Source organism: Homo sapiens, chromosome 3, assembly GCF_000001405.40.
Source record: "Homo sapiens chromosome 3, GRCh38.p14 Primary Assembly".
In the NCBI taxonomy this organism is placed as follows: domain Eukaryota; kingdom Metazoa; phylum Chordata; class Mammalia; order Primates; family Hominidae; genus Homo; species Homo sapiens.
Genome location: NC_000003.12, coordinates 160,215,159 through 160,241,297, shown reverse-complemented (window position 1 = coordinate 160,241,297; position 26,139 = coordinate 160,215,159). Strand labels below are relative to the sequence as shown.

Here is a 26,139-nt window from a genome sequence, read left to right as displayed (position 1 = left end):
TGGGTTAATTTGAAAGCCTTGTCTTCAAGCTCTGAAGTTCTTTCTTCTACCTGTTTGATTCTATTGCTGAGATTTTCTACCGCATTTTGCATTTTTCTAAATGTCTCCTTCATTCTAGAAGTTGTGATTGTTTTTTATTTATGCTTGTTAGATATGAGTTCTAAATTTCTTTTCAAAGAATCAATATGTCAGTATGTTCAATTCTTTGCCTTCTACTTTTAAACTTAACTTCCTCATAAAGCAATCTTTTTCGATTACCTGCTCCATCCTGACTCATTTCAATCACCTGCTCCACCCTGACTCATTCCAATTACCTGCTACCTGCTGCGTCCTGACTCATTCTCCAGGCTGCATAACCATTTTTCCCGCCAAACCACTCACCCCGTCACTCTCTTTAAATTAGCCTATCAGAATTAGTTTAGCCTGTGCAGTCTAACCCTAGCCAATAGGGGGACAACACAGCAGCAGAGGCCACGTGCTTCAGGGATAAGAACTCCTTCCCCTCCCTTGTCCAAGTGTGTGCTCATCATTGCTCCATCTGTAAGGGCGCACCCTTCTATAGAAGCACCTTGCCTTGCTGAGAAAAAGAAAATTTTATATTCGAGTGCTATTTCTTTTGAGGCACTGAAACTTTATTTATAACACTCTCTATTCCTCTGGAGATTTTTCCATCCATATCCTATAGCATTTAAAAAATTTCTTTGAGTTGATATTCACCTTTTTCTGGTGCCTCCTTGAGTAGCTTAATACTTGACCTTTTGAATTCTTTTTCTGGCAATTCAGAGATTTCTTCTCAGTTTGGATCCATTGCTGGTGAGCTAGTGTGATCTTTTGGGGGTGTTAAAGAACCTTGTTTTGTCATATTACCAGAATTGTTTTTCTGGTTCCTTCTCATTTGGGTAGACTCTGTCAGAGGGAAGATCTGGGGCTCAAGGGCTGCTGTTCAGATTCTTTCGTCCCACACGGTGCTCCCGTGCTCAGAGGATGTGAGTGCTCAGAGAAGAGGCTTCCTGAGAGCCAAACTACAGTGATTGTTAATTCTCTTCTGTATCTAGCTGCCCAGCAGAGCTACCAGGTTCTGGCATGGTACTGAGGAGTCTCTGCAAAGCGTCTTGTGATGTGATCCATCTTCAGGTCTCTCAGCCTTGGATACCAGCACCAGCTCCAGTGGAGGTAGCAGGAGAGTGAAGTGGACTCTGTGAGGGTCCTTTGTTGTGTTGTTGTTTATTGCGCTAGTTTTGTGTTGGTTGGCCTCTAGCCAGGAGGTGGTGCTTTCAAGAGAGCATCAGCGGCCGGGCACAGTGGCTCACGCCTGTAATCCAAGCACTTTGGGAGGCCGAGGCGGGTAGATCACAAGGTCAGGAGATAGAGACCATCCTGGCTAACATGGTGAAACCCCGTCTCTACTAAAAATACCAAAAAAAAATAAATTAGTCAGGCGTGGTGGCAGGTGCCTGTATTCCCAGCTACTCAGGAGGCTGAGGCAGGAGAATGGTGTGAACCCAGGGGGTGGAGCTTGCAGTGAGCTGAGATCGTGCCACTGCACTCTAGCCTGGGTGACACAGCGAGACTCCATCTCAAAATAAATAAATAAATAAATAAATAAATAAAGAGCATCAGCTACAGTAGTATAGGGAGGATACAAGCTTGTCCTAAGGTCACCTGGATAAGTTTCTCAGGCAGTGGGTGGGTCCATAGGGCTACCAAGAGATTATGTCCTTTGCCTTCAGCTACCAGGGCCAGTAGAGAAAGTCCATCAGGTCGGGGTAGGGATAGGCGTGTCTGAGCTCAGACTCTCCTTGGGCAGGGCTTGCTTCGGCTGCTGTGGTGGATGGAGGTCTGGTTCTCAGGCCAATGGAGTTATGTTCCCAGGGGGATTATGGCTGCGTCTGCTGTGTCATGCAGGTCACCAGGAAGGTGAGAGAAAGCCAGCAGTTACAGGCCTCACCCAGCTCCCATGCAGCCCGAAAGGCCCATCTCACTCCCAACATGCCCCTCCAATAGCACTGAGTTTATTTCCAGACAGGAGGTGAGCAGGGCTGAGGACCCGCCCCAGGCTCCAGGCCACCCCACTGGGAAAACAAGCAGGGCTTTCAGGTTTTGCACCTCCCTGCCTGCCACAACTTCTGTGGCCTCAAGACCCAGTATGCCAGTCTGACTCCCATGGCCAATCTCTCTGGCTCTTCTTACCATTCGCCCACTACACTGGCTTCTCAACAGCAAGGTGTCCACACTCAACCCCTCCAGTCTCATTTAGTGTGTCACATCTAGTCCTTCCTTGCCTGCCCCAACCCTATTATTTCTGTTTTCTGACCCAATCTTAAACTCAGTGTGTCACTTCAACCAAAATCAGTCATGAAGATCATTTTGTAGGCTTTTTTAAGTGAAGTTAATTATATTTTGTTTTACATAAATGTGTTTCTATTCTTCTTAATTCAAATCATTAATGTCCAGGACTAATTAGAAAAGTTTTGGAATTTCCACAAAGAGATTTGAATTTCACACCAAGAATGCAGTGTCAACCAGTATGTGTACAATGGCACTGGAAATACATTCTGATGTTCCAGGCACAAAGGAACAAGTTATGTGGCTTACGGTCACATAACTAGTAAATCTAGAGACCAGAGATTTACCTAGGCAGGCAGACTCTGCATACTCCACAGCCCAACTCTAAACCACTATGTATATGAAGTTCTTGTTTGTTTGTTTATTTTTTTTTGACAGAGTCTCCTTCTGTTGCCCAGGCTGGAATACAGTAGCATGATCATAGCTCACTGCTGCCTCGATCTCCTGCGCTCCGGTGATCCTCCCACCTCATCCTCCTGAATAGTTAGGACTACAGGTGTGCATCACCACACTCGGCTAATTTTTGTATTTTTCACAGAGGTGGGGTCTCACTTTGTTGCCCAGGCTGGTCTTGAACTCCTAGGCTCAAGCAGTCCTTGCCTTGGCCTCCCAAAGTGCTAGATTATAGGCATAAACCACCACACTCAGCCTATATGAAGTCTTAACATTCATATTCTACCACAAAAATATAAACAGAACCTTAATTTAAGAATGTGCTATTTTTGTCCTTGCTCTGATATTAGCTACCATTGGGTATTTAGTGATATGTTAGACTCTATGGTTCTCATTTTTATGCTGAGCATACAAATCCCCTGATGTTTCTTTTTTAAAATATTGGAAAAGATTTACCAGCTATTTTAAAGAAATGGTTTTCAATTTTTAAAGTTAACTAAGCCAGACTGGGAAGGAGGCACGCTTGGTACTAACGGCCCATTAGCCGAATGAAATGGAAAAATGAAAAACACAAACAAAAAAACCAAACCAGTATCTGAGTAGTTTTTTGTCAAACATTTCAGATTGTATCCATGTTATCCATTAAACATTTCTACATGCCTACAAATAATTTTGAGTCATTATTACAGATTCCCAGCACAGATCCTAAGGTGTTTTTAACAGTGGTTTCTTTAAACAGCAAATTACAGCCACCATGCCTATAATCCCAGCACTTTAGGAGGCCGAGGCAGGCAGATTGCTTGAGCTCAGGAGTTCAAGACTCCAGCCTGGGCAACATGGTGAAACTCTGTCTCTACAAAAAATCCAAAAATTAGCTGGATGTGGTGGCACACACCTATAGTCCCAGCTACTTGGGAGGCTGAGATGGGAGGATCACTTGAGCCCCAGGGGTTGGGGGGGTTGAGGCTGCAGTGAGCCTTGATTGTGCTACTCCACTCCAGCCTAGGCAAAAGAGTAAGACTCTCAGGAAAAAAAAAAAAAAAAAAAAAATATATATATATATATATATTCTGCAAGGTTAAATTAATTGTGTGTTGAGACATTGAGTGGTTGAGAACAGCAGCTCTGGAGTAAAACAGGCTGGATCAGCTTCCTGGATCTTCTACCTATCAGTCGTGTGACTTTGGGCACATTACTCAACCTCTTGGGGCCCTACTTTTCTCATCTGTAAAATGGGGTTAATAATCCTCACTTCCTCCTGTTGTGAATTTTAAGTGAAATAATACATGTAAAGTGCCTAGAACAGTGCCTGACATATGTCTTCATTCAGTGAATTATAGTTATTTTTGTTATAGTCATCATGATAGAAATGAAAAGTGTCACCCTCACAGCAAATGTTGAGCTTATATCTAAAGTTGGATGAATGCCTATATTTTATTTTTTGGAAGAAAGGCTAAAATGTAAATGCTACCGAATGTTAAATCAGAGCAAGCTAGAAATAATGATATTTAACTTATCAAAGTGAATTGCCAGAGTTCAAACTCAGCAACTATAAATTTCAGGAATTCACTAATGAAATTACTAATTACAACTGATTACAGATGTTTACTAAAATAGGTAGCCATAAAAATCTTAGGAGCACTGCAAAGCATAATAGGGAACCCATAGAAACTCTAACATTCCTCAAGAGACTGATGAAAAGAGCTGAAGAAAAGGCAAAAGCTGTGGAAGACCTGGCAGGTATCAGAGAGCACCCACAATCACTGAAAGAACCAGAGGAACAAATTAAGTGGTGAAACACCCATAGAAATCTTATGAGCACTCCAAAGCACAAAACAGAACCAGCGGAAACTCTAAGAATTCTCATGAAAATGCCAGGACACTTAAAATAAAACCAAAACCCACAGAAGACTGGCAGCTATCAGAGAGCTCCTGTAAACACCGAAAGAACTAGAGGAACAAATAAATGTTGATGATGTCAACAGAAAGTTTAGGAACACTTCAAAGCACAAACCCAGGAGACTGCTGGGGATGACTGGGGAAAATGCAGTCAGGAAGAAAACCTGACAGGCATCAAAGGGCTTATGAAAATGCCAAAGCAGACAGCACAGCTAGAGAGTGAAAGCAACAAGAACCCCAGATCTGCCAAGTGGAAATGGTGAAACCTCACAGGGAGCAAGAGATTGTTTAGGATACCTAAAGAAAAGCCAGAACTGGCGGAAGACCCAACAGAAACCAAGGGCCTTGGGAAAACTCCACAGCCAATTGCCAACCCAGAGGACAATCAACAAGAAACTTGGGACAGTACCCAGGGCTCAGTGCGAATCAGCTGGACTTCTTACAACAATCAAGAAATTTCTAAGAACTTCTGTGAAAAAGATTGAACCCATGGAAGACCTGACAGGCACCAATAGACCAAAACTCCTAAAGAAATAAAGGCCGGCGCAGTCGTTGACGTCTGTAATCCCAGCACTTCGGGAGGCCAAGGTTGGAGGATCACTTGAGTAAAGGAGTTGGAGACTAGCCTGAGCAACATAGCAAGACACACACACACACACACACACACACACACACACACACACACAGAAATAAATAGTTTCAAATAGCTAGAAGGAGGATACTGAATGTCCCCAACACAAACAAATGATAAATGTTTGAGATGATGATCTGCTAATTACCCTGGTCTGGTCACCACACATTATAGGTATCATAACATCACTATGTATCTCATAAATATGTACAATTATTATATGTCAACTAAAATGTAAAAAAATGAAAAAGATGAAAACGGTGACTTGAACTTAGTATGTTCTCAAGAAATATTTGTAAAAGGAATAAAAGTAAAATAAAGCCCAGTTGGATTCTGTTTCCACTAGAAAAAAAAAAGAAAACAAGGAGAATATTTTTTTTTTCTTTCTTGAGACAGTCTCACTTTGTCGCTCAGGCTGGAGTGCACTGGTGCTGTCTTGGTTCACTGTAACCTCCGCTTTCTGGGTTCGAGAGATTCTCATGCCTCATCCTCCTGAGTACCTGGGATTACAGGTGTGCACCATTACACTGGCTAATTTTTGTATTTTTAGTAGAGATGGGGTTTCACCATGTTGCCCAGGCTGGTCTTGAATGCCTGGCCTCAAGGCCAGGTCTCGAACCACCTGCCTTGGCCTCCAAAAGTGCTGGTATCACAGATGTGAGCCACTGCACCTGACCAAGATTTGACAAGTGTCAAGAACCTCATGACAACTCTTTTGTGGAGATGTGAATCGGTAGAAAATTTTACAGGCATCAAGACACTTTTGAAAATTTCTAAGGTATATCTAGTAGAAGATCTGGCAGACATTCCAATGCTTATAGAATCTTAGAAACTCCAAATTCTAAAAAGCTTGCTCATAGGAAACCCTTAGTACGCATTCAACTATATTAGACAGAACTAGAAAACCAGTTGGCTAAAACACCTATAATAAAAAATATGAAAAATACTACTCAATGGCCGGGCACAGTGGCTCATACCTATAAGCCTACCGCTTTGGGAGACTGAGGTAGGAGGATCACTTGAGGTCAGGAGTTCGAGACCAGACTGGCCAACATGGAGAAACTCCGTCTCTACTAAAAATACAAAACTTAGCCAGGCATGGTGGCATGCACCTGTAATCCCAGCTCCTTGTGAGGCTGAGGCAGGAGAATTGCTTGAACCTGGGAGGTGGAAGTTGCAGTGAGCCGAGATCGCACCACTGCACTCCAGCTCATGTGACAAGAGACTCTGTCTGGAAAAAAAAAATACTACTCAAGAAAGCCAAGCACTAGAAAAAAATATATAGAACATACAGAGATTTTATTTAGAGTTCAAATTTGATTGTACAAGTTTTCAATCAAAAGAAGATGTGGAAGACCATACAAAACTTTTTTTAAGGTTAGTCAACTGACCATGAAGCCCTCCTTACAGCGTTAACAAGAATTCTGGACAGATATACAGCTACAATTAAGCATTAATCAGGCTGTACTTTGGCCCACTTCCTTGTAATCAAAAGTCAGGGTGGCACTAGATACTAACCAGTTGCATCCCCATTCTTTCCATAAATAGGACTTCTGATCTTTAAATGATAAAACTCTTGTTTAAGAATTGCTTCAGCAGATCCTAAATTCCAGAAGTACAGCTGAGACAACCAGTTTGAAGACCACCACAGAGGACCCAAATGAGCATAAGAATACTGATGCTGCCCCATGACCACACCTTTGTACTCTGACCAATCAACGAGCTCAACACTTTGGCCCACTCCAAAACCAAAATCCTCAGGGAGACAGATTTGAGGTTTTCTCTCATCTCCTCTTCTGTTTGGTGGCCCTATGATTAAACCTCTTTCTCTGCTGCAACCAGGTGTCTCTGCATATTAACTCCCTTGTGCATCAGGCGATGAACCAATTATGATTACAATCATATGGAACTTTTTAAAACACCAAAAGAAAACATTGACGCAAGCAAGAGTTATCAGTAACTTATTGAAACCATCAAGAAAAAAGAACAGTGCAGTTGAAGACTTATTGGAATGAAAACACTTATGACAGAACCCAAACGAAAACATCGTTTGGAAGTATATAATGGATTTGAAGAAATGTTTGATCCAATGAACAAAAATAAGAATCGACCAGGAGATCTGTCAAGAAAACTTCTTTTGTAATCCTTGTTAATATGAATCTAAAACTAATGCTTCTGAAACTGGAGACATGGCCAAAGAACATGCAAGATTGAGCTAGTCAAAGAACCAGATCTACCCTAAAAAATAAAGATTTTCAAGAATCTAAAACCTTTGCCTAGCCAAACAGATATGTGCAAAGAGAAATTAATATAAAGGAATATAAGCTTTTTTATTTTTTTTGAGACAGAGTCTTGCTCTGTCACACAGGCTGGAATGCAATGGTGCAAACTCCACTCACTGCAACCTCCACCTCCTGGGTTCAAGTGATTCTCCAGCCTCAGCCTCTCGAGTAGCTGGGATTACAGGCAACCACCACCATGCCCATATTTTTAGTAGAGACAGGGTTTCACCATATTGGTCAGGCTGGTCTTGAACTCCTGACTTCAGGTGATACATCTGCCTCAACCTCCCAAAGTGCTTGGATTACAGGCGTGCACCACTGTGCCTGGCCATAAGCTTAATTTTCAAAAACGCTGAGTCAGAGAATGTCCCCACATCCTAGACCCAAATACAGAACTGATAAAAACTGCAAGAGTCTCAGTTGCTTACATCAACAGAAAAGATTCAAGTAAATAAAGTTTAAAAGAATATTGTGAAGATGCCAGGCGTGGTGGCTCACGCCTGTAATCCCAGCACCTTGGGAGGCCATGGCGGGCAGATCACTTGAGGTAAGGAGTTCAAGACCGGCCTGGCCAGCATGGTAAAACCCCATCTCTACTAAAAATACAAATATTAGCCAGGTGTGGTGGTGCATGCTTGTAGTCCCAGCTACTCAGGAGGCTGAGGCAGGAGAATCACTTGAGCTCGGGAGGCGGAGGTTGCAGTGAGCCGAGATAGTGCCACTGCACTCCAGCCTGGGCAACAGAGCGAGATTCTGTTTCAAAAAACAAAAAAAGAATATTGTGAAGAGTTTCTAAGAGAAAAACTCAGAACATGGAGCTATGAAACAAAAGACAGTGAGTGTAACATAGTGGGGGGTGGGGGGGTGCGGAGGGGGTTAGTGAGATGGGAGAACGTAAAACTGGTATAAATCTTCAGGAATCTGATGGTTTGGCTAGTTCAACAGGGATTATACACATGGAAAAGAATGACAAACTAATGAAGAATTTGCAATAAAAATTTAAATCTACAAATGGAAAGAAGATATTTTTAAGACTTAGAAAAATAATCAAAATTAATTTTTATCCGGTGGTATCTTTGGTCAATACAGAAGAAAAACTTCACACAAACCAAAATGAAACAGGAGTAATCTGGAAGGTTCTAATCCTCTGTCTGATGAAACTAACTTAGGCAACAAAGAGGCAGAAAATAAAACTATTGATAGTTCTTCAGATAAGGTCCTAATACAGTGGGGATTCGAGGCATAACTTCAAGATTATATCTGCAAGCAGGAATAAAAGAAATGTAAAGGTAGAGATATTTTCTAGTCTACCCAGTAAAAGAGATACCATATGCAGAGGAAGTTTAAGAGGAGCCCATGCAAAAAACCCGTAAGAATGTTATAAAAGATAGAGCAATCAATTGTAAATCAAGTTACCTTTGAGGTCCAGTGACTCAAATGAGGTCTTTCCTACAAAGATAGAGGATATGATCTTTTAACTAGTACAACAAATAGAATGTCTGTGAGCAAGGATAGTAAGAAAACAGGTGATCATTACTCACAAAAAGTGACACACATAGAGGATACCACAGTGATGCCTGTGAGAAAAAAATCGAGTAGAAAGATGTAATAGTCCATGAAGAAAGAATATGCTTGAGGTTTGGAAGCCAAAATAAGATCCCTGTCATTACTAAAATGCAAGGGTCTAATTATTTGTCCTAATATAGCAGAGAACACGTCTTTGGGGAAAGATGGGGAGAAAAGTGCTGATAATCCCTTCAGGAAAATCCAGGTGAGAAAGCAGAAGATAAAGAGGTAGTAGTACATCTGGATCTATTACATTTGAGATTTAGAACAATCCTTGCTGGACACATGAAAAGATTTGTTTGTCCGGCATCACAGAGAAAAACTCCATAGATAATAACAAATAAAAAAAGTTTACAGTCCTTTAGTGGATAAAGAGGAAAAACCATGCCTGGATCAACATGGAAAAGCTACAGAAGTCGGATGCAAAGAGAAAACAAAGGAAGTACGTTGGAAAATACCATTTTACCAAAAGAAGAAACTGTGCAAAAGGTGAAGCCATACCAGAGAGAGATGAAAGCACAGCAGAATAACATGGAGTTCTAAGAGATGTGACAAGCAGGATAAGAACAACCACACAAAAAGAAAGTAAGAACGGCAAGATATCAGACAAGATACTTAGCTAAGAAGCTGAAGAGGGGATAAAAATACTGTTTGGTTTGGCGACAAACATAAGTATCTCCACCATCATATAATTTTTGCCATAAAATTAATAAAAGTGGGCTGGGTGTGGTGGCTCATGCCTGCAATCCCAGCATTTTCAAATGCTGAGGTGGGAGGATTTCTTGAGCCCACGAGTTCGAAACCAGCCTGGGCAGCATAGTGAGACCTTGTCTCAACAAAAAAAGTTAAAAATTAGCCAGGCATGGTGGTGTACTCCTGTATCCAGCTACTAGGAAGCTGAGGAGGGAGGATCACTTGAGCCTGGGAGGTTGAGGCCGCAGTGAGCTGTGATCACACCACTGCACTCCAGCGTGGGTGATAGAGCAAGCAAGATATTGTCTCAAATAAATAAATAAATAAATAAATAAATTTAAAAAGTGAGTTCTGTAAATAAAAATGAATAAATGAATAATAAAATTAGGTTCTACATGTAATTAAGTATGACAAAAGTATTGGTTTTACTTGATATTTGATTATTTTTACAGGCAAAATTTTACAAAGGAATACTGTAACTTTTCTGGTATTACCCATGTGGAAGAAAGAATGGCTTAAGTTTTTGCCATTAGCTGTTGCTGATTCATTCCTTGGTTGACAAAATACCTTCCCTTAGTTTATCCTTAGTTATTAGTTACCCTTAGTTATTAGTCTTTTCATCAATGCATGAAAGGAGAATGAAAAAGTAAATTGTAAACTACTGAGGTCAGATATGAACTTGCCAAATATTCTACTATTGATTGGTTTAGGAAACTTACACTTTTGAAGAGATGGTTAATGTTTGTTGCTCAAAATAAAACTCAACATACATCATTATTTCTCTCAAGCTGGAAACCCAAATTAATTACAATTCATAAAATTTTTAATAAAAGTCAGATCAGAATATTGTATAAATCTAGACATCATATTCATGTTTATATGAGTTTCAGCTTTGAATTGTTTCCTTTATTAATTCCACTTGAGAGAAACTGTATACAAAAAGTACAACATTAAGGTACTTAGCATATTGCCTTTCAAATTGTTAACTGAGTCCGTTTCCTTAATATTCCCTCTGGCCTTTACAATTGAATCTTGTTTTCCTTATAGAGTACATTTCATGCCCTTTGACATAATTGCCAATGCCCATTTTCCATGGTTGAAGCATACTCACATTTGCAGAATGTAGCAATTAATGGCCTCTTAAAACTATCATTCTATCTCAAGAAGACATTTTCCCCTTGGTTATGATATTGAACACCCATAACAAATTGCTTGTAATCAACTGGTGATTACACACACACACACACACACACACACACACTACAGTCATCCCTAGGTATCCATAGAGATTGGTTTTAGGACCCCCTGCAAAGGTCAAAATCAGCTCCCTGATATAAAGTGGTGTAGTATTTGCATATAACCTATGCATATCATCCCATATACTTTACATCGCCTCTAGATGACTTATAACACTTAATACAATATAAATGTTATGTAAATAGTTGCTATAACGTATTAATTTGCAGTTTTAAATGTTATATTTTCTTTCTTAAAAATATTTTCAAAAAATTAAAAAAATACATTTTCTACCTGCAGTTGGTTGCATCTGCAGATGCAGAACCCACAGATACAGGAGAACCAACTGTACATACACAATATACATATTTATATATCTAGCACCTAAATTTAGAAAATCAATCATGTTTTTTGCATTCCAGATGGATTACAATATGCAGGACCATTATTTCCCTACTCTTGAGAAGTCAGTGAAAATAAAATGTGCTTAAAATGTTTTAGTATTCGAATTACTTTGATAACTGAAAACCAGGAGCAAAAGCTCACTTGGTACTGGAAAACACTGCACGCCCAGGTGGGTTTAGTTAAGATATATATGCCACAGGCTGGGCATGGTGGCTCACGCCTATAATCCCAGAGCTTTGGGAGGCCAAGGCAGGCAGATCACTTGAGCCCAGGAGAATGAGACCAGCCTGGGCAACATGACGAAACCCCATCTCTACAAAAAAATACAAAAATTAGCTGGGTGTGGTGGTGTGCACCTGTAGTCCCAGCCATGCAGGAGGCTGAGGCAGCAGGATCCCTTGAGCCCAGAAGGTCAAGGCTGCAGTGAGCGGTGATCATGCCACTGCAATTCAGCCTGGGCAACAAAGTGAGATCTTTTCTCAAAAAAAAAAAAAAAAAGAAGATATATATATACCATAAAATTTATGTTCCATCTTAATTCCATTAACATGTCATGCCATAAGTTAATAGTGTATTATTCTACATATAAAGAGCACAATGTTCTATCCTCCACTTTTACTACAGAATATTAAAAAGAAGTAAAATCATTTCTTTGTGAGTTTTTTTCAGGTAACAGGATAACTATTTTCTATATTAATAAACACATGCAATTATATATAATAGGTTCTGTCTATATAATAATTTCCAAGTGAAATCTATAAAACTTAACACCCAGATACTGCCTTTACTGCTTTAAAAATGTTTCTATCCAGGCAATGCAGGTTATAAACACACAGGTTCTGTGTGTGTTAATATGGTGTGTTATATGTGTATATATTACCATGAGACATGCTCATTTATTAATAAAATACTGTTTTAAAGAATTTTTCCACACAATTATGCCTGAACAAAATTGTCCTTGGTAAATCAATAGATTGCAAGAAAAAAAACCCCACTGTGGAGTCAAACTCATTTCTATTGAACTGAGGGATGTGAATAAAAGCTTGTGGGTTGGGCAGATAAAAAACAGGTGAAAACTTGTCATTTTAAAATTCAGTAGAACCTCATTGTGTGATTGGTATCAAGTGTAATTACCACTTTATAAACATTCTAGATTTTAGGGAGAGAAATATTCCATAGTTGATAAAAGAGAAATATACTTGATCCGTATTGTAAGTATTTTTCATAGGATTTTGTTGAATTTCTTTAAGATGTTATGGTAACAACATATAGACTATGCTTCATATACTGGCACAGGTATTTGGATATTTAGGTTGATGTTTCAGATACAGGTAACATTTGTGAACTGTGTAAAACAGTGTAACCTCAAAGAATAAATTATTTTTTAAAATATGGCAACTTTCCAGTTTGTTTGAATGGTGAGTAGTATTGATAGCCACATATAACAAAAATACACGGTATTTGAGTAACATTAATATGTGATTATCTATATAATGTAATTAAATTTTGTACCATTCTCAACTGATATAGCCTCAACTCCTGATACTTTTGTCAATTCACAGCTCAAATTGCTTTAAATGACAAATAGACATATTTCATATTTTGATACACTACCATATAGCCACACATCTGATAAAATTTGCACAGAGAAAAGATTTTAATGTTTTGCTATTTTTTAATACACTTCAAATGATTTTTCTTTAGTCACAAGGTCATTAGTTTTTAGAAGTTTAAAGTAAACCATTTTTTTATTACAATTCAGACATTTAAAAAATTCTCAGAACTGTCAGACTTTTTCAACCAGCCTTTAAAAATTTAATTAAATAATTTTCTTCAATACAAGTCAGATATTTTAAGATTTTTCAGGAGCATCAGACTTCTTCAATCAGAAGAACAATGTTCTAAAAACATGTATGAGATCCATGTGTGTAATCGTTCTTGATATAACAACATTCACCTTTTCCCAAGCAGAGAAACCTTTCGTACTTTTCCTTCTCCTTTCAGGTGAATGACAAACTGTAATAACAATATTATAAACAATGTGTATATAGTACATAGACAATATGCATATGTACATTACACACAATGTATTAAAATATGTTATATTATCTTTTACTTTTAAAGGGCGTGTCACAGAACAGGAAACTGATACAATGACACTTGTTTCTTAAGAGAAGCTGATTGAATCCTGTAGCACATTACTGCACAATTAATGGCTTTAAACGAGTTACAAGTCGTAAGTTCTTATGTTTTGGATCATGTTGTGGAATGTATTCCAAATGAAAAATGGAGGAGAAAGTGCACAACATCATATGCTTCATGGTATGGCATATACATGTCAATTATTTTTACATATAACTGTGATGAATGATACAATTAAAAGCTATACTACATAATGCATACAGTTATTATTATAAAAAGTTATATATTATGCCACAGTACTAAAAATAAAATATATTCTTCTCAAATAGTGAAAATAAGATATCCTTCATGTTTTTTATGTCACATATGCTTCCTCGTTTGACCATACCTGTTTTTCTTTTTTAATGAAATAATTTAATGATTTATTAAACAATAATGACAGAGTATGGGCAATTTCCTGACCATTAATGGCCTACAAAAAGTGATAAGACGATTACCTTGTCGTGAATTTGCTGAAATACCCTCCTGTTGCGTTCAATGCATGGTAAAAATATTAGAATAAAAGACAAATAAATATAAATACCTCCTCAGTTATTGAACAATCAAAAGTCCAGCCGAATGGATATACATGGTTGCTGTTCCCTGAGTAGGTACAGCAGCTAACCTTGTATCACAGGTGTCCCCCCTAGCCCACTCCCCGCACTCCACCTAATTGTGAAACACCAGCTGTGACTATTTGCTAGATCAGGAAGACACTGAGGGATTTTGGGGGGTCTGCCGCATGGCAGCGATTTCATCATAACCAAGTGGCGCTCTCCCACACCCACGTGCAGCAGTCCCTGGTCGCGGCTGGTCCTCAACGGCTCCTCGCCCTCTGCCCACCCTGGGAGACCTGTCCAGGCGGCAGGTAGGGAAAGGAGTGGAACTGCGGTCCTTTCTCCTCAGCCCTAAAGAAGACCGCCCTTCTCTCGACGCACCAAAGGGCTCACGTGTTCTCTTTGACTAGGGAAGCAGGCACTTACTAGTGAACCACAATACGAGGCAAGGCAGAGGGCAGGGACGTCCTTCGAAGGTGCGCTGGAGGGTCGCCTGCTGCAGCCGCACCCGCCGCGCGTGCCCCACGTTTCTTTGAACGGAATGAAACGCAGAGAAACATAAGATCCCGGGAGAACGCGAGGGAGACGAGTGACCCCAACCCAGTCGCGGGGTGCCGGGCAGTTAGGCCAGGGTGCCAGATAAGGTCTGAGGCAGTTGGCGGCGGCACCCCGGCCGTTGCTTGCCACCCGCAGCCCCCAGCCCTGCACCAGCCGCCGATCCCCGAGCGCTCAGATAAGAGGGTAGCGGCCCTCGCCGCCGTCGGGCTCCGCGGCGACCCCGCCTCGAGGGCGGCCAAGCACCGACACTGGCAGCACGACCTCCCCGGGGCTGAGCTGCTGCAGCCGCATGGACTCCTCGTAGGTGGGCAGATACTTGACCTCCTCGTAGCTGGGCAGCTGCAGGAAGACCGGCGACACTACACGCATCTCGTGCTCTGAGGCGCAGGAGGGGTCCGAGCGCCCGCCGCCTCCCCGGCCCCGGCCGCCGCCGCCACTGTCCAGCAGTGAGTCCTGAGAGCCGGCTGCCGCCTCGTCGCGCAGCAGAGCGGGCGAGTCGTCGTCGTCGTCGGGCGGCCCCGCGCCCCCCAGCGGTCCGGCGCCCCCCGGAGGCCCGGGCCGCTGTCCCGGGCGCGCCTGGCCGCGCGGGTACCTGCGTGGACTGGGGCAGATGATGCGCTGCAGGAAATAGCCGATGGCGAAGAGCACCAGCAGGATGAGCAGCCCGGAGAGCTTGCGGACGAACCAGCCCACGTTGTCCAGGAAGGCGTGCAGCGGCAGCTTGCAGCAGCGCACCGCCGTGGCGTTGGTCGCGTCGCAGCAGCGCTCCCGCTCGCCGCACGCCAGCTCAGCGCAGCCCCCGCCGCCCCGCGAGGGCGCCACCAGCGCCAGCGCCAGCAGTAGCAGCAGCGGCAGCAGAGGCGGCGGCGCCGGAGCCACCGACAGGCCCTCAGCAGTGACCCCGGGTCCCCACATGGCCCGCGCAGACCTCGGCTAACGTCCGGGACGGGAGGCTGGGGAGTCCGTCCGCCCTCGCGTCCGTCGGCCCCTCCCCGGCGCTCCGCTCGGGTCCCGCGCGCGCCGCCTCCCGCGCCTCAGCTACCTGCGGCCGGAGCAGTCCTCACTTGGCCACGCTTGGGCGGGAGGAGGAGCCCGCGGCGCGCGGAGGCTGCGGGAGGCGGCTGCTACTGGCGGCCCAAGCAGCTTCCCGAGCTTCTGACCTTAACCTCTCGCGCCCAACCGCCCGGGCCGGGTGCAAGGCTTCCGGAGCCTCCCTAAATGTCAGAGGCAGCCCGCGCGGGGCTGCCATGGGCATCTTGGCCCCGGCCGGCGCGTTTTTCCTCCCCCGCCTTGTCGCTCTCTGGGACTGGAAGGGTTAACGCTCTGCTCTCAGCCCGGGAGCCCCTTGATCTTGATTAATTCAGCCTTCGCGCTTAGGCCCGCCAGACGGGCGGGGGCTCTCGCTCGCGTAGGTGTCTCCGTTTTAAGTGATTGGATTTCCCCAGGAATGTTATTTAAATTGACTTGCGACTGGGATTCGCTTACCATCTTTCTTGTGATCTTCCGATTAAAAATAGATGATGGCCATTAATGGCTAGTGCAGTACCCACTGCTGTCCCAGAGTTTGGGGGTGGGGGGTGGAGACCGGCGGATATTTCTGCTTGCAGGCAGGTCCAGGGAGCTAGGAACCCGGGATTCCCAGGAAACCTCCAGAACAGGTAGAGAATTTCTCGTAGAGGGACAGGTCAGGGTACCACAGAGGTAGCCCCAGAGGGACAGGGAAGCGCTCCGTCAAGGTGACCTTAGTTGATTAAGGAGAAGTGAGGGGACGCATATTTTCCCAGTGGCTCATCCGACAAGCCCCCACTGAGTCCGAAGCACAGAGCAAAGATTTGGGTTGCCGGGCTGAAAGGAGACCCCTCCTTGAGCATAAATAACACATCCGTGAAATGCCTAAGGAGGTTACAAGTGATTGGCAACGTTCTTGAGCGTTGATTTGCGCCTAAAGGGTCTTTTTCAAGATTATTCTTGTTCGCAAAGTTTGACTTTAAAGGAATTCTGCGCTCCCAGTTAACATGGAACAGGGTTTACCTTGCCTTGGTTGTCACCATTCTCTGGGGAAGCCCGGTAGGGCACACAGCACACGTAAGGGGCGACAGTTACAGCGGTCCCTGACTGGCAGGCACATCTACATGGTGTAGTTAAGCTCTGCCCCCGTGGTGGATAGAGCCATACCACGGGGAAGCCAAGAGCTTGCCACTTTTATTAAGGCAGACTGCAGTAGACAATCATTCCCTCACCCCTTAAACACGAGGACCCCTTGAAGAGAAACCAAAGGGAAAATTCCATAGTCACAGAGAGAAAAACAGTAAAAGCAAAGGAACAATATGCAGACAAGATTCAGCCGAGGATCAGATAAAAGCAAAGATTTCTCCCTGAGTAAGTCATCGTATGTCTCCGTAACAAAGTGATGATGGAACAAGAAGGTTGGCAATGGTGGTTTGATTGAGACAGGTCATTGCTCAGCCTGAATGAAACATTTTAAACATATCTGTTGCTGTGAACACCTTACTTTGCCTCACACTCTAAAATGATCCTTTCTACTCACAGAGAAGCTTCTAAGTGTTACGGAGACAAGATATGGTATGTAACGCTTACTTGAGCACAGGTCCCTTTTTTCTCAGGTTCTTCAAAGGCACATTTGTTATGATCTCTTTATAGGGAGGCATATTACCTATTTTGCAAAGCCTGATTGACAATGGATTTCAAATTGTAGTAAAATCATAGGATGAAAATGATTCATTTTAATACAGTGAATTTTTTTTTTTTTTTTTTTTTTTTTTTTAGAGTCTCACTCTGTCACTTGGGCTTGAGTGCAGTGGCACAGTCTTGGCTCACTGCAACCTCTGCCTCCTGGGTTCAAGTGGTTCTCCTGCCTCAGCCTCCTGAGTAGCTGGGATTACAGGCGTGCACCACTACACCCAGCTAATTTTTGTATTTTTAGTAGAGATGGGGTTGCGCCATGTTGGCTGGGCTGGTTTTTGAACCACTGACCTCAAGTGATCCATTCGCCTCGGCCTCCTAAAGTGCTAGGATTACAGGCGTGAGCCACCACACCTGGCCAGAAAATTGTATTCTTTCATTCACCCATTCTTTTGCTAAATTTACATTGAACATTTTCTATGTTTAGGGAACTCAGCTAGATGCTCATTGTAACAGAAAAATACTGACTCCTCCCCAGCATGGAGTAAACCCAGGTCTGCACTCCCAGCTTCAGCTAAATGGAGTAAGAGGTTGCACAGAAGGCAACAAACGGCAGTTTCCTCTTCTATCATGACTTGTTCTTTCTCTCCCAAAGGAAAAATAAAATTAGTGAATTTCAAACAATTTCAGGAATGAAGGCAGTTCATAGCTTGAGATAGGCTTTGAATATGAAATAGAAAAAATATAAACCCTCTTTGGGTTTTGATTATCTGAGTTTTTGGGATTTCTTCCAGTAGTAGCAGGAGCAGTGGCAAAAGTAAAGGGGGTTATATGGCTGATGACACATAAGAGAAAGTCCCCTGCTCATTGCTATTTTGAAATTATTAAGCAGCATTTAAATGGTTTCATTTCTATCTACCTTTAAATAGTTAGAATTTGCAGAATATTAGGTAGGACACAGTAGAAGAACAACATAGATTGTATATAGTATCATCCATTCAAGACCCTCTACAGAAATTGGCACCTCTTTATTTCTTCTCTGATCTCTCAGTTTCACTTAATTCATCTCTATTTGCAATGTAATTTACTGTGTACAGTATTTCAAAGGAACGAATAGAAACCTTATAGCTTTAAAAGCCCCAGAAAAGACACAATTTTCATTACTCAGCATCCTTATTCTTTTCTTCAGATTCAACACACAAATAAATGGGGTAGATTGAGCTGCCAGAAAATCAAATTCAAGCCACTTAGAGAGGAAGATGGAATTTAATGATATGTTTCATAGAATGACCACAGTGCAAAAATTAAAACCTTATTTTGTTAAAAAAAAAATTGCACCAAATGTGTTAAGTGAGAACAAGAGAGAGTGAGAGAAAAAAAACCAACACGTGGGGGGAGGGGACTCACCTTTTTCCAAAAAGCATAGTCTTAATGATAAAGATTAAGAACTTAAACTTCTTCACCATACTGTAGAGCTTGAATGATAGTTTTTGAACATTTTCTCTTCCTGATTTATTTGCATTCACACCATATGAATGCAAATTAGCCATACTTTTCAACTTTCTGGAACAGAAGAAAGTAAACAGAACACAGCAAAACTGGCTATTTTACCTGTGTCTCTGGGAGCTGTGTTGATAGCTTCAGAAAGACTTAGTGGCTCCATCATACAACCTTCTGTTCTATCACATGACACAGGCCCAGAAGGAAGTTTTTCTCTGATGTCTGCTGACTGTTGCTTGTGCCTTCAAGCCTGAGAAGTGATGGCTCTGCCCTTTTCATGTCCCTCCTTCAAAACATCTAGGCATGGGTAGTTGGGACCTTGTAAACTGTCTAGTCCTTAAGGACCCCTTATTCAGGATGTGCAACACCTGAATACTACCTTACTACTAAATTATTATAATTGATTTCTTAACCTCCTCATTGTATGATTTCCCTCCACTTGCACATGTCTTCCCTGAGCAACAGTAAATTAAGAGGCTTATTGTAAATAGCATATATTTGCATGAATATACCTCCCTAGAAATGATGTAAGATCTGAGATAATCTGCTTTGGAGTTCTTTTCAGATCATATTTCTTTCATCACTCATTCAATAAATATTTAATGAGGTCCCACTTTGAGCTTGGCATTCTGCTCCACTCTGAGGATACTATGAAATCAAACGGTTCTTTGTCCTCAGGGATCTTATTAGGGGAGGGGGAAAAGAACAATAGTCAAACAGTCAAAATAATGAACTGATCATTCCAATGATCAATGCATACCTGGAGGAGTGCAGGATGCTCTGAGTTTTTGCACTGGACATGATCTGGATTGGGTTAGGGCAGTGGCATTGGGTGGAAAAACGTCCCTAAGAAAGACCTCCTTAAAAAGGACAACAAGGGGAAGCAAAAAAGGGGTCCTCTGGGCAGAGGAATCATCATGGACACGAGTCTCCGAGGTAGAAAGACACTTCATGTGTCATCTCTTATGACTGAGGCAAAACTTGTATAATTCCTATCCCAACAATTTTGACTCTGCTGCTAGATTAGCTTTATGTAGAGTCAAGCCACCTCTGCTGCCATCCAACTTTAAAACCAAACCTCATTCTCTGCAGTGGTCTAACAGGCTGTGTGGTTGTACTTATCTTTGTATTTGGTCCTGCCCGGTTTCCCCTTGGAGACCAGGAAAGTTCTAGTGACATTTCCTGTTATTTCCACCTCCACACCCCAGACTCGGAGTGGAGTTCAGATTTCCCCTTTCAACTTTATGAGTTGGTTGACAAAAGGCTTCTGCAAGCCAAATGCTTGAAGAAGGGGAAAAGTCCAAGTGGAATGCTTTGTATCTTTTGTCCAAATTAGGAGCAGAAGGAAATAGAAAGCTTTTTCTCAAGCTTGAAGTTAGAAACAAAAGGTTGAGTAATTCCAGGCCCTTATAAAAATAATATCTATGTTTATATTTGGCCTTTTAGCTTTTCAGAGAACTTCCACATGCATTGATTTTTTTTTCCTCCTTACTACATTTCTGTGAGGTGGGTTGAAGTTATTATTATCCCTTTTCACCAATGAAGATAGGCTAAAACAGCGAAATCAAAGGGCAAATTAGTGGTGGTGCTAACACTGGAATCCAAGGCTTATAACTCCAAATCTAGTTAAAAACAGTGGTTTGGCATCTCACTCCCTTATTGATTTGAGCTGGACAGGCCAAAGGGATCGCTGTGGCGGGAGTCACCTGATTTCCCTTAGACAACTCCTGATGCATCATGAGGCCAATTCTAAGGAAAATAGCTGGGAGTTAACCTGGACTGTATTCTGGACCACAAATACAAGATTCTTCTGAGGAAATAAAACTTTTATTTCTGCCATTTTGTGGCCACTTTTGTAAACCATTAATAATGGTCTAGATGAGGCCAGCTATTTTTGTATGCATTTCTGGAAACAAAAAATAAATTTCCCTCCTTCATTACATTTGATCTTTACCCATGAACTAAGTTATCTAATGCTCATCAATATAAAATAAGAAATGCTTGGCAAAATAAGGACACATTGGGTTCTAAAACACAAATAAATGCAGTATTATTTATCAATAATTTAAACTTCTATATTTAAATTCTTGCTTTATTACAATTATCAGTTAATTTCTTGTGGCAACCTTGTAGAAGAGATTGATACCTTTCACATTATTGCTGATGATGTAAAAACTAAACCATAAATGTTATGAGAAATATTTAGTGAGGCCATGAAGATCTGAAATTAGAATTCCAGTTATGTCAGCTGAATGAATTTCTTTCTCACTCATGTTTTTTAAAAATGGTCAGATTGTTCAAGTTAGAATATACCTGTTAGTACGCTGTTGTACCAGCCAAACACTTGCATCGGCAGAAAAATCACATAGCATGAAATTATTTCATAAGATGAAATAATTTTTTAAGGTGAAGCATTTTATGCTCCATTATTTTAATCTGAAACTAGTAATGTACTCTTTGTCTCCCTTTCATTACAAGGAAAAATTGCTTGTCAATAGCTCCTTCTGAATATTTTCTGTAAACCTGGATGGAGCGGGAGATGACTGTTCCTGCTCACCAGGCCAGACTTTATACTTATAGGGCAACAGGCTAATGGCATTGACTCTGAGCTTGCCGTTAGTCCCTGGGCAGCAGGGCTGTGGTCCATCTACCCAGCATCCTGCTTCTAACATTAAATGAAATGGGATAACCGTCTTCCAAGACACCTGCCTTAAAACTTTTGAATATACCCTAAATATCTAAATTCTGCTTAACAATTTTCATTGTAGATTTATCCAACTATGAATTTCAAAGGGTCCTTTGGGGTATAATCCTAGTCTTTACTTTCACCTTTCTTTCCTACTCTCTTCCTTTGTGCACCCTTTGCTTCAATAAATGACTACCTGATATGGCTGTTTAAGATGCCTGCTTTAGAGATGTTCTCCCTTCCCTTTCACTGTGCCCTCCACCAGGAATTATCTTTTCCCATCTCTGTTGGTCAAAACTATGCAAAATACAGCTCCAATGACAGCTCCTCTCCAAAATCTACCATCTACTGTTTGTGGCAATTCTCATTTTTAAAATTTTATTTTAATAGCGACGTGGTCTCACTACATTGCCCAGGAGGGTCTCAAACTCCTGAGCTCAAGTGATCCTCCCACCTTGGCCTCCCAAAGTGCTGAGATTACAGGCATGAGCCACCATGCCTGGCTGCAAATCTCATTTACTACCTCATATTTCAGGTAGTTATGTACACATCTTGGCCTTAGGACTTTTAGAAATAAGCTTATGGTGGTAGGCTTTGTGTATGTGTCTCTGCAGCACGGTGGCTTTCCGTCTCTTTGAATACTAGACTTTGGGAGGCTCTCTTGAAGGGTTCACCTGGACCTATGTTGCCTTCCACCCACTGCTATGTTGTTGTTTGGATGCAATGCCTCACTGTCTGCCTGTGTTCCATCAGAAATTCATAAAACAATGCTCTCAAATGTTTCTGTAAGCACGTTTCCCTAGCCCCTACTTGCTGTTAGAACGTTCTTCTTACCTCCCGCAGCAAGATTTATCTCACTGAACTCAAGTCACAAGACGTGCAACCTTCACCATTCTGTCTAACAGGCATCACTTACATGTATGGGACTCAGCAGGGACAAAATGAATGCAGCACACCTGTGAAGAGCTTACAGGATTCCAGAATGCCATTGCCATATCATCCAGGAGCCTCTACCAACTTATACATAATAGGTGCTGAATACATTTTTGTAGAATTAATTTACCTAAGTTTATGAATCTATTTATGTTTTCAATATATACTCCTCTTTTGAGTAACAATTCCATGGTTTTGCTGCTTGCTGGATGAATCATTTTACTTATGTATTCTTTCAAGCATAAAGAGGATTTTCCCCTTGTTATAGTGACTTGGGCTTTAGAGAAATGGACTGTATTTACTATGGGATTTGCCTTCTGAGGTCCGTATGCTCCAGCTACTTGAAGAGAGAATGTCTACCTTTTTTTTTTTTTTTGACAGCGTCTCACTCTGTTGCTCAGGCTGGAATGCAATGGTGTGATCTCTGCTCACTGCATCCTCTACCTCCTGGGCTCAGGCGACCCTCCCACCTCAGCCTGCTGAGTAGCTAGGACTATAGGCATGTGCCACCACATCCTGCTAATTTTTTCTTTTTTATTTTTGGTAAAGACAGGGTTTCACCATGTTGCCCAGCTGGTCTGTTCCTGAGCTCAAGCAATCTGCCCACTTTGGCCTCCCAAATTGCTGGGATTATAGGAGTGAGCCATTGCTCCTGGCCAGAATTTCCACTTTTGTAGTGTTAGTGTGTGAGCCAGTCTTGCGTGTTTTTGCTTTTGGATTTCGTTCTCAACCTTTTACAGCTCTGCCCTGTATCACAGGAGAGCTGATCCCTGGAGGGTGCATTTCCCTGTTGGTGAAATTCTGGCAGAGTTCAGTCAGTGGGAGATTTGAAGGAAGATAAAGGGTGAAGCCAGGGTGGGGACACTGGCAGCTCCTCCGCGGCTCCTATTGAGGCCTGCTGTGGCTCCAGCTGCTGTCAGTCAATTCCCCTGCCTCCCCAGGCTCCCATAAGACCACCTCCTCCTTCCTACTATTACCAGTCTCCAGGCTGTCTCACCATTTTCTGGGAGATTCTTAGCACTTCCTGCATAAACAGTTTCTTGTATGAAATTTCTCTCTGTTTAAAAATTCAGAATGGGTCGTTTTCCTGGTTGGACCCTTGATTGATGCAGTTTGCCTGAACCATTTTCACCAGCACTAGGATGCAAAGATAACGAATTATGTGATTCCACTGATCCTACCGATTGAGCAGAGTAGTGTTAATCCCCTCTAAAGCTTAAGACTGGTCCCATTTCTCCCAACCATGGATGTGGAAAGGTGACCCTAACTGCTGGTGACAGTAAATGGTGTTAGTGCCAGCCGTGTGATCTTGGACAATTAATCACTGGATCTGCATTTTCTTGTCTATGAAATAAAGGGTATAATAATACCTACCTTCCATTGTGAAGATTAAATGAATGAATACATACAAAGTGCTTAGAACTTTGGCATATAGTGAGCTCTGTGTAAGTGTTACCTATAATTGTTAGTTAATCACAAAGAGTGCATTATCTTTTCTTGCCTGCTAGTTTGATTCTGAAAATGGTGAAGTAAAAGCTAATTTTCTTAGGGTTATCATGACTTAATTAGATTTGTAACTTGTCTTTGTGAGTCAGCCAAAGACAAATGAAACTTATTAACTTCGTAAAATTTGATATTTGGCTCTCAGCTTTATCACTGGCAATATTCTAAGAGTTAACCACATGAAGTTATTATTGCATTTGTGAAAAATAGTGGGAGGCATCATGTCTCCTATGAAATTCTCCCTTTTGAATGATTTCTTTTAGAAATTCAGCCCAAAAAAGCCATGTTTTCTTTAGAGACATGTTAAAGCTTTCTTCTTTTTCATCACAGTAATTTGGTAAATGGTCTTGAATCCCTTTTTGCTTTCATTGCCAGGGAGCTCAGAACTAAATTTAAAGTTTTTTTTAATATCTGTGCTGGCCCCTCCTTTTTTTTTTTACATTTATGTTTGTACTGCCATATGGCCTTAGTTTTCTAATTCAAAATTTATTTTCTGTTTGATTCCCTCTTTAGATTTTGCCATTTATATTCATATTGTAAGTTATGGCACAATTCTTTGTGGAATAAGATGTAGTAGAAATAAATGACACTAAATTCGTAGAGTTTTTAGAGTGTGTTATGAGTTTTCCATCAATATGTTATTCTGTGTCACCAAATTCATTTTGGAATATACAGTCATTTCCTGCATAATGATTTTCAGAGAGCTAGGGACTGCATATATGATGGTGGTCCCATAAGATTATAATACAATATTTTTACTGTATCTTTTCTGTATTTAGATAGCTACAAATTTTCAAATTTAGGTACTCTACAAATAGCATTGTCTACAGTATTCAGTACAATAACATACTGAATAGGTTTGTAGCCTAGGAGCAATAAACTATAGCATATAGACTAGATGTGTTGTAAGCGATACTACCTAGATTTGTGTAAGTACACTCTATGATGTTTGCACGATGATGAAATCACCTAAAGATACATTTCTCAGAACTTTTCCCTGTTGTTAAGCAATGCATGGTTGTAATCTCAATGTAAAAAGTAACTTTCTTAGATAGCTATATTTTTTCATCATGGTATGTATTGGGAAGTCCATGTGGTTTGGTCGCATGCCTCAGTCATTTTTATTTCAGAATAAATTATATTCTGAAATAATATAGTTGTTATTGTTATTCGGGAAAGCGGTTTTGTGGTCAGGCAAGTTTGGGAAATACCCAGTGAGCTTCATTGCTTCAAGATTTTTCAGGGCTGGGAGCCGTGGCTCATGCCTTTAATCCCAGCACTTTGGGAAGCCAAGGAGGGTGGATCACTTGAGGTCAGGAGTTCAAGACTAGCCTGGCCAACATGGCGAAACTCTGTCTCTACTAAAAATACAAAAATTAGCTGGGCATGGAGGCACGTGCCTGTAGTCCCAGCTACTCGTGAGGTTGAGGCAGGAGAATTGCTTGAACCAGGGAGGCAGAGGTTGCAGTGAGCCGAGATCACACCACTGCACTCCAGCCTGGGCAACAGAGAGAGACTCCATCTCAAAAAAAAAAAGAAATTTTCGGAGCCTTTAATTTGTTCAGGTAAACAGTTGGCCCTACATATTCCTGAGTTCTGCATCTGCTGATTCAACTGACTGCTGATAAAAAAATATTTGGGAAAAAAACCCCAAACCCAAACCAATTAAAAACAGATACAAAAATAAGAAAATATGAATGTTAAAAGACTATTTATGTGGCATTTACATTATATTAGGTATTATAAGTAATCTAGAGATGATTTCAAGTATGCAGGAGGATGTGCATAGGTTAAATGCAAACACTATGCCATTTTATATAAAGGACTTGAGCATTGGCAAATTTTGGTATCTATGTGGGTCCTAGAACCAATCTCCCTGTGGATATTGCAGAATAACTATTGTGATTCTCTAAAGAAAGAAATATAAGGTAGCAGTTTTCCAACTTTCTATGACCAAGGCACTCCCCTCAAATTCCCGCAATTTTTTCCTCTCCAATATTTTTTTCTTAACTGAAACTCCAGTTAATATTTTAAGGAACTAGGGTTCTCCAGTATAGGCTAATTTCCCATAGACTAGGTTTTGCCTACATTGGCAAGTGCCACTTTTTCAGTAAGTCCGTAAGAAAA

The 26,139-nt window shown here is 41.5% G+C and overlaps 1 protein-coding gene and 1 long non-coding RNA gene across 2 annotated transcripts in view, besides 1 other annotated feature; one reads left to right on the top strand and one right to left on the bottom strand.

The window, feature by feature from the left end:
* The window catches only part of TRIM59-IFT80 (TRIM59-IFT80 readthrough (NMD candidate)), a 258,294-nt gene extending 244,450 nt beyond the window's left edge, over positions 1-13,844 (top strand). Inside the window, exon 19 of the long non-coding RNA NR_148401.1 lies at positions 13,576-13,844. This is a non-coding gene — a long non-coding RNA (TRIM59-IFT80 readthrough (NMD candidate)). The remainder of the gene's footprint in view (positions 1-13,575) is intronic.
* C3orf80 (chromosome 3 open reading frame 80) lies at positions 13,085-15,876 on the bottom strand. Its single transcript, NM_001168214.2, has one exon. It carries the CDS (start codon positions 15,660-15,662, stop codon positions 14,919-14,921), a length of 744 nt encoding a protein of 247 aa, NP_001161686.1. The 5' UTR covers positions 15,663-15,876; the 3' UTR covers positions 13,085-14,918.
* Positions 15,490-15,859: a silencer, noted in NCBI's record as "silent region_14854". NCBI's record gives its function as "represses an Ori minimal core promoter by ATAC-STARR-seq in GM12878 lymphoblastoid cells {active_cell/tissue: GM12878}" and the evidence as "EXISTENCE:reporter gene assay evidence [ECO:0000049][PMID:35858748]".